Raw genomic sequence first — 8,925 nt, 5'->3', positions numbered from 1 at the left:
GTGTGTCTGTGTGTATGTGTGCTTAAGAGTGTGTGTGGGGGCTGGGAGCGGTGGCTCACGCCTGTAATCCCAGCACTTAGGGAGACCAAGGCCGGTGGATCACTTGAGGTCAGAAGTTTGACACCTGCCTGGCCAACATGGAGAAACCCCATCTCTACTAAAAATACAAAATTAGCTGGGCGTGGTGGCACATGCCTGTAATCCCAGCTACTCGGGAGGCTGAGGCAGGAGAATCACTTGAACCCGGGAGGCAGAGGTTGCGGTGAGCTGAGTTCGCACCATCACACTCCAGCCTGGGCAACAAGAGCAAAACTCCATCTCAAAAAAAAAAAAAAAGAGTGTGTGTGTGTATGCATGCTTAAGAGTGTGTGTGCATGTGTGTGTAGGCACACGATGGGATCCCCAGGCCCTCAGCCTGCCCAGCCGCCCTCACTTGCCTGTGGCACCCAGCAGCTGGTGAGGGACTGTGCAGCCGGGTCTCTAAATCCATCTCCTGGTTTCCAGTGTAGAGCGAGCTAAAGATCAGGGCCACGGGCAGGAGGCTGCCTCATTCTCCTCCTTTCCAGGATGGAGCAGGAAGAGCCAGTGCCAGCGTTCCGAGCTTGCAGTGAACGCACCCAGCCGCCCGCCTCAGCCTGCAGTCATTAGCTGGCAGTGCAGCGATGCCTCCGTTTACTGACAGCATGTGTTCGGGGAGGGGCATACCATTTGAATTTTTGTACGTGAATCACAAACGCCAGGGGAGATCCTTAAAACAGACCTAGACCTACGACAGACCATTTCTCCTCCAGCCAGCGCTTCACGTAGCGTGTGGCGCCCTGGCCTCGTCCAAGCAGCTGTCTGGGAGGATGGCTTCTTCCCCGGATTTGCCCAATCTGGGCCCTCCGCCTTGACTTCAACAGCCAGTGAGGGTCCACCTCGCCCAGGTATCTGCCCATCTATAACATCACCTAGAGGGGTTCTTTAATTCAGGACCTTATGAAGCCAACTAAATGGTTCGTTGAGAATGACTAAACTCCACCTTGGAAAGAAAATCATAAACATTCTACTACCTGGCTAAGCCAAGCATGATTACATATGGAAACTATGGACGCTACTCAGTGGGATTTTTGGTATTAATTTCCAATTTCCTCTTCACTGAGGAACTGATGAAAACCCAGTCTCTGCGCTATCCAGGCTAGAGTCAGCTTCTTACATTGTCCGTCTAAACTCCACTGCTTCTGGCCGCGGCTTCCCCACTCCGGCTCCATGCTGGCTGCTCCTGAGTTCAGCTTTGGCCCTTAGTCTCCAAGGGGGCTCACTGGGGGTTCACTTAAGTACAACCTCTGCCCAGCATATTAAGGAGAGCCTCCAGCGGCCATTCTGTATGCACATGCCAGCCGCCTGCTGTCACGAGGAGTGCCTCCCCCGTGGGCTCCATGCTGAGCTCCTGCGCTCTGTCCCAGTCCTAGCACCTTGTGTGCTGTTTGCCAGTTTCTGGCCTGTTCTTCCTGCTCCTCGTAGGGATGCCATATTCTGCGCCCGTGGAATAAAGGCAGATGCGTGTTATTCCCTGCTTTGAGCAGGAGGCTGAGAACAGCTTGCCCCTTAGGTGGGAACAAGACACATCGGAGCTTTCTGTGTCATTCCCTCCCTCTGCTCTCTCGCCGAGGGGGCTGCCAGTCCATGAGCAATGTCGGGGGACTCCACTTCACCTCCGCATCGCATGAGACAGCAGCTCCAAGCGGGACCTAACTCTGCAGAAGGGTCTAGAACAGGGTTTGCGGGCAGGCACACCTCAGTTTGACTCTCCGCCCTGCATTGTGTCTTTGGGCAAGTGGTTTATTCTCTTGAGCTTGAGTTTCCTCATCTATATGAAGGTATATTCACACCTTTCTCAAAGGGACAATGAGAGAATGTATTAGCAGATAAAGCGCCTGCACCTCGTAGGCATTTGGAAACCGGGCTCATCGCTGTGACTACTAGACTGACTCAGGGGAGCCTGGACAGCATCCTGTGTTTCCCAAGCGTTGGAGGCGCATCAGAGCCACTTGGAATGCAGCTTAAAATGCAGATCCCTGGGCCCAAGGCTTTTGCATCAGTGCGTCAGGCCTCAGGCCCTCCATCTGCCCCGGCTTTGGAGTGCCAGAGCTACTTGTGGGAAGGCTGGGCTACCCCAGCCTCCCAGCCCCTTCCTGCATTTATTTCAGAGCTACCGAGGCCTCAACGTGCATAGGGCTCCCAGAGAAGCTGTCCCAGGTGAGGGCCAGATTGAGTTTGACATCGTCGTTGCCAGAGAGCACCCTGGCCGCCGCTTTGGTTTTGATTACAGGCGGCCCGGCACCGGGCTACTAGCCATGGCCTCTTCACCTGAACTGCCGGCATGAGGCACAGATGCTAATCACACGGGTAAGTACTTGCAGATTTCCCAGGAACAACAAAAATAATTTGTTTGCTCCATGGCTTGTGAGGAGGGAAGCTGGGCGCTGGTGACTGGGTGGCTTGTAGATTAGGCCCATGGCCTTTCACCTCCTCCTCCCCCTGCAGGCTGATGCTCCCAGCGGTGCTGATTAGAAGCAGGAGAAATTAAGATCCCCTTCTCACTCCCTACCCCCGACAGGCGGGAGAAGGTGGGGGAGGAGAGAGGGGCTCGGCTGAGAGGCTAAGCCAGGCTGCAGACATGTAGCCGCGGTCCTGCCCGTGCAGCCTGGGCCTGTGGAGACAGTAGGCCGTGAGCAGGAGGCGGGGGCCTTCTCCGCCTTCCCTCTGAGCGTGCTCAGCCTTGCTGTCAGTGCTGAGTGCGATGCCAACCGGCACCTTTCTTGGGGTCACAGCAGCTCAGTCCTTCTTTAGCTGAGCAGGGCAGGAGAGGGACAAGAAGGGATCACTCAAGGGGCTGCTGGGACTAGGGCTGCTAAGATCTCACAGAACTGTTGGGATTAGGGCAGCTGAGAACTCACGGGGCCGTTGGAACTAGGGCAGCTGGGATGGGTCACCCCCAGCAGCCCCAGGTGGTAGCCTCCGGGGCCTGATTATTATGGGGGGCAGAAGCGGCACCCTACCCAGCTGAGAAGAAGGTCAAGCCATCTCCTAGGTGTGAATGGCGCTATGCAAGAAGAAAGTGAATGTGGAAATTAGTCAGAGCCCATCTGCCCAAGAACAACAAGAATCTCTCTATGAGAAGTCAGTCATCAGGCTGGAAGGACGGCAGCGTCCTCCCTCCTGGCTTCCTTCTGCCTGGGTGTAAGGAGGAGGGCAGGATAATTGCCATAATTATTATTATTGTTGTTAGCTCTTATACTTTTATGTGCCTTAATGGTTTTTACATACTAATGGTCACTACTTATCAACGGCCTACTGTGTGCCAGACAAAGAAATCGGGGCTCTGCATGTATGATCTGGCCTAAAGGGTAGAAATCACTAGGTCCCTGTTACAGAAGAGGACACTGATGCTCAGTGAGACTACATACCTTGACTGAGATCAGAGAGGAAGATGCAGAAAAAGGATGTGCAACCAGGGCCCCCTGTCTTCCCCTCGTGTCAGGTGACAAGCTGTCCTTCGATGGGCTCTTCTCCGGAGGCCTGCAGGGGCCAAGTCACAACCAGAAGGCATCCAAACACAGGTGAGTGAGGGGACTGGGGGTACATGTCCCCTAAAGCAGTGCAATGATGAGCAGGCTTACGGGGGTTCCAACCTTATTCTGGGCTGGTGGAAACACCCTCGGAATAAGCTTGCTATGCTGCTGAGAAGAGGGTCCTTCCCAGGCCTCACACCGCTCTCTCCCTTCCTTCCCTGCCTTAGGCTGCAGGTGGCTATGGAAGGGAAATGGAAATTGTCTGTGCAGGGTAGGAACCTGGCCTCCCCCCAGTGCAGAGCTGGATAATTACACAGGTAAAGGGTCAGGGTAGGTGCAGGACCTGCTCTGCCAGTAAACTGGGGGCAGGGGTGAGTGAGTAAAACAACACTGTGTCCCTCCCACCATCAGCTCTCTGTGGCCCCTGGACTGACTTCTTTCTTTCTTTCTTTCTTTCTTTCTTTCTTTCTTTCTTTCTTTCTTTCTTTCTTTCTTTCCTTCTTTCTTCTTTCTTTCTTTCCTTTCCTTCTTTCTTCTTTCTTTCCTTTCTTTCTTTCTTTCTTTTCCTTCTTTCTTCTTTCTTTCCTTCCATCCTTCCTTCCCTTCTTTCCTTCCTTCCCTTCTTTCTTTCCCTTTCTTTCTTTCTTTCTTTCTTTCTTTCTTTCTTTCTTTCTTTCTTTCTTTCTTTCTTTCTTTCTTTCTTTCCTTCTTTTTGAGTCAGTTTCACTCTTGTTGCCCAGGCTGGAGTGCAATGGGGCAATGTCGGTTCACTGCAACCTCCACCTCCTAGGTTCAAGCGATTCTCCCGCCTGAGCCTCCCAAGTAGCTGGGATTACAGGCACACGCCACCATGCCCAGCTAATTTTTGTATTTTTAGTAGAAACAGGGTTTCACCATGTTGGCCAGGCTGGTCTCCAACTCCCGACCTCAGGTAGTACACTCGCCTTGGCCTCCCAAAGTGCTGGGATTACAGGCCTGAGCCACCACGCCCGGCCCCCCAGACTCACTTTCACACTGTATCCATTTACATCTTTTCATTCTGGTTTCACTAATCAATAGGCCTGTACAATCCCTTCAAAAATTGTTGAAAAGCTGCTAGTTTTGGAGAATTTGTTCAAGGCAAGTAACTTCTGACCAGGGCCCACCCCCTTCCACCTCTCTCCTTCTGCCCCTGGGCCGAAGACTTCTACCTCTCAGCCGTGGAGAAGGAGGTCTCTCCTGACATCATTCAGCCTGTCTGAGATGACCCTGTTTGCCCATATTTGTGTTCCTTCAAATTAAGGTGATTCATTAAACCTCTGGCAGATTTCATTTTTATTCCTTGATAAGAACTTTCAAATAAATATATTCAGCCATGGAAAGAATCCTTTGACAGAGCCATGTCCTAATTTTGGCTCGGGTACTGTAGTTGTCAAGTTGTCAGCTGGGAATGTGCAGGAGAGACCGGGGCTGCTTCCCACCCCCACCCCCCACCCCCACACTGCAGACTTTGTGGGAGGGAAGTGAGCAGGTTGACCTTGACTCTGGCTACTTGGAGGGATGCAGGGGAGGTCTGGCTCTACCTCCAGGGGCTTAGGAGCAGCACCAAGGTCTCAGCAGGCCCTGCAGTCCCCAGAGCCTGGAAGAAGACGTTCCTTCTTTCCCCTGGGAGCCTGTTCAGAACGTGCTAAACCCAGCCCCAGAGTAGCCTAGAGTTGCCTGCCCAGGGACAACCCCCGTCTGCAATTTCTATTCTGAGCAGGGCAGAACCTGCGTCACTCCCAGCATCAGGTGTCCACAGAGGAGGCCACATGCTATTGGAAGGCACCTTGACAGAGGCTCCACACGCTAGAGTCTATCCCCAGTTTTGCTACATGATGGGCTCTATTTATTTATTTATTTATTTATGTACTTTTGAGACAGAGTCTCACTCTGTCGCCCACGCTGGAGTGCAGTGGTAAAATCTCGGCTCACTGCAACCTCCGTCCTCCAGGTTCAAGCAATTCTCCTGCCTCAGCCTCCCGAGTGGCTGGGATTAGAGGCATGTGCCACCACGCCCAGCTATTTTTTTTGTATTTTTAGTAGAGACGAGGTTTCACCATATTGACCAGGCTGGTCTCGAACTCCTGGACCTTGTGATCCGCCCGCCTCGGCCTCCCAAAGTGCTGGGATTACAGGCATGAGCCACCGCGCCCAGCCTGTGATGGGCTCTTTGCCACACCTCTTTGAGTGTTCAAATGGAAGACATTTATTAGGCCCTTACCATGTTACCAGATTGGCAGTTCTAAATCTTCCAGCAACTCTGGCATCCCTATTTACAGGAGAAGACTGATACTCAGAGAGATTAAGTGACTAAGACCATACAACTGGGCTGGGTGCGGTGGCTCACACCTATAATCCCAGCACTTTGGGAGACCAAGGTAGATGGATCACCTGAGGTCAGAAGTTCGAGACCAGCCTGGCCAATATGGTGAAACCCTGTCTCTACTAAAAATACAAAAATTAGCTGGGTGTGGTGGCACACACCTGTAATCCCAGCTACTTCGGAGGCTGAGGCAGGAGAATTGCTTGAACCCAGGAGGCAGAGGTTGCAGTGAGCAGACACTGCGCCACTACACTCCAGCCTGGGTGACAGAGTGAGACTCCATCTAAACAAAAAAAAAAAAAGAAAAGAAAAAGAAAAAAAGACAATACAACATACAACTGGTAAGGGAAAGAGCCAGAAATGAATCCAGGACTCTTGGCTCAAAATTCTCTTGAGACCTCAAAGGGAGCCAGCAACAGTGTATCTTGAACACAAGGTCCTTTTTCAAGCTGCTCTTGAAAAAACAAACAAGGCTCAGGGACTATAGAAGCAGCTCTCAGACTCTGAGGGCTGTTGGGAGCATCCAGCATCAGAAAGAGGATTCCACCCACACTACAGGTGGGCAGGTGGTAAATGTCTTGAGCTGTGGAAATCCAAGTCACCAGTTCCGAGAGAAAACTTAAACTCTATCAGGACGGGAATCTGAATCCCAGGTGCTATCTGAGAGAGACAGGGCAAGGTGGTGGAGCCTTGCCTCTGTTAGGAAGCATTTGACTGCAAGTAACAGAAAATCTGACTAACAAGGGTTTAATCAAATAGGGAGGATAATTACCCCCCCAATTATCAAATAATGATTATCAAATAATCAAATACTTCTCCCACATAATAAAAAGTTAGAGGTCGATGGTATTGATTCAGCCACTCAAATGGTGATATCAAGAAACCAGGGTCTTTCTGTCTCTTTTCTCTCACCCTCCTGTGTTGCCTGTTTGTGCTAACGCTTGTCCAACCCTATAGGTGTCATGTGGCTGCCGCAGCTCCAGGCATCACATCTGCATTCAGGGCAGGAGGAGGAAAGAGAGATGGCATCAATGACATTTTCCCCTTTAATTGGGATATTAAAAACCTTCAACTTCCTAGTTCAAAGATTTAATAAACTGGTTAAAAACCTGAAAGGAAGGAAAGAATTCTTCCACGAGCCCAAAATGGAGTCACATGGTCACTTTTAGCTGCAAAAGAAGCTGGGCAAGAGATTATCTGGCTTTTACCTTCTATGGTGGGAGAATAACATGAAAGAAGGAGACTGTGAACGGCTTCTTAGTTTGCCAACCAGCAGAATCTGCCATAAAATTCTACATCTTGGCCGTGTCATGGTATTCAAAGGATAAATTGCAGAAGTCTGTCCTGGTCAATGCACCTTTATACATGCTGTTTCTTGGAATTGGGACCCCCATTCAATTTCTATACCTCTCATATTTGCCTAACAAAGCCCTCAGTGTATTCTGAAACTACTTTTAGAAGCAATTTGGCAACATGTTTCAAGGGCCATAAAAGTGTTCATAAATTTTGACCCAGTATTTCCACTTCTGAGAGTTTATTTGTTCCAAGGAAATAACCTAAAAGCGGGGGGGGAAAGACCCTACATGCTCAAGGATGTTCATTGCAGCATTAGTAATAAGAAACAACCTAAACAGCCAACAATAGGGGAATAGGTAATTAAATCAGAAGCACACTCACTGGATGGCAAATTCCATAGTCATTAACAGATGATGACGATACATATCACTTAGTAATGTAAAAAGAGGCTGTGATATGATGTTATACTAAACAACAACAACCAGCCAGGCACAGCAGAGCACACCCGTAATCCCAGCTGAGGAACCTGGGGCAGGAGGATCACTTGAGCCCAGAAGTTCAAATCCAGCCTTGGCAACATAGCAAAACCCTGTCTCTTGAAAAAAAAAAGAAAAGTGTGTGTGTGTGTATATGTATATATATATATATATACACACACACACATATATACACACACATATATATATACACATGTATATATACACATATATATATACACATATATATAATCAAATGTATTATTTGGATTGTATACTTAAATGATAAGTGTCTTGTGGACAAAGAATTGAAGGGAATTTACAAAAGTTGTTGGGTTAGGGCAGTGAAATTATGGGTGAATTGTTTTCTCTCCATTATTCAAAATTTCTGTGATGGTGTTATGTAGTTTTCAACATAATTGAGGTGGGGTTTAGGATTAAAATTATCCTGCTTTCAAGTCCCAGCTCAAACGTCACCTGCTCTAGGAAGCTTTCCTTGCATTTTCCAACCACATCTTTTCTGAAGTTTGTTTATTTATTTATTTACTTATTTATTTATTTATGAGATGGAGTCTTGCTCTGTTGCTCAGGCTGGAGTGCAGTGGTGCCATCTTGGCTCACTGCAACCTCTGCCTCCCGCGTTCAAGCGATTCTTATGCCTCAGCCTTCCGAGTAGCTGCCACTACAGGCACACGCCAGCACACCCAGCTAATTTTTGTATTTTTGGTAGAGACAGGGCTTCACCACGTTGGCCAGGTTGGTCTCGAACTCCTGACCTAAGGTGATCCACTTGCCTTGGCCTCCAAAGTGCTGGGATTACAGGCGTGAGCCACTGCGCCCGGCCTCTGAAGTTCTTCTTTTGCTGGACCATGTACTCTCCTGGGGCCATATGACCATGTCCAATTCTCCCTTATTCCCAACCCATGATAGGCACCAGGAATCAAGAAGGCCACACGGCACAGGCCAAGAACCCAGACTAAGAGCCTAGTATGATGGAGGTGGCGAGGGGTCAGGGATGGGGACAATCAGGAACAAGGCACAGGATCTAAGTTACAGGTCCAGGGCACCGGCAGTGAGTAGGGCTTGAGAAGTAGAGGCATAAAGCTGCCAGGCATTGAGTGACAGCTGGTCTTTCAAGTTATTTTAAATGCATTATTATTATTACATAAGTACAACACATATACATACGCACTGTAAAAAAGTTAAATAGTTCAGATAAAGCCCCCCTTGGCTCTCACACAGTCCCAGTCGCCTC

The 8,925-nt window shown here is 49.5% G+C and overlaps 1 annotated feature.

Annotated features, from left to right (window-relative positions):
- Nucleotides 1,996–2,667: an enhancer, noted in NCBI's record as "H3K4me1 hESC enhancer chr3:184347519-184348190 (GRCh37/hg19 assembly coordinates)". NCBI's record gives its function as "activates a minimal SCP1, AML or CMV promoter by ChIP-STARR-seq in naive H9 embryonic stem cells {active_cell/tissue: H9 hESC(naive)}" and the evidence as "EXISTENCE:reporter gene assay evidence [ECO:0000049][PMID:30033119]".

This window comes from Homo sapiens, chromosome 3 (assembly GCF_000001405.40).
Source record: "Homo sapiens chromosome 3, GRCh38.p14 Primary Assembly".
Lineage (NCBI taxonomy): Eukaryota > Metazoa > Chordata > Mammalia > Primates > Hominidae > Homo > Homo sapiens.
Note: the sequence above shows the minus strand (reverse complement) of the source record. Positions and strands in the feature narration are given on the sequence as shown.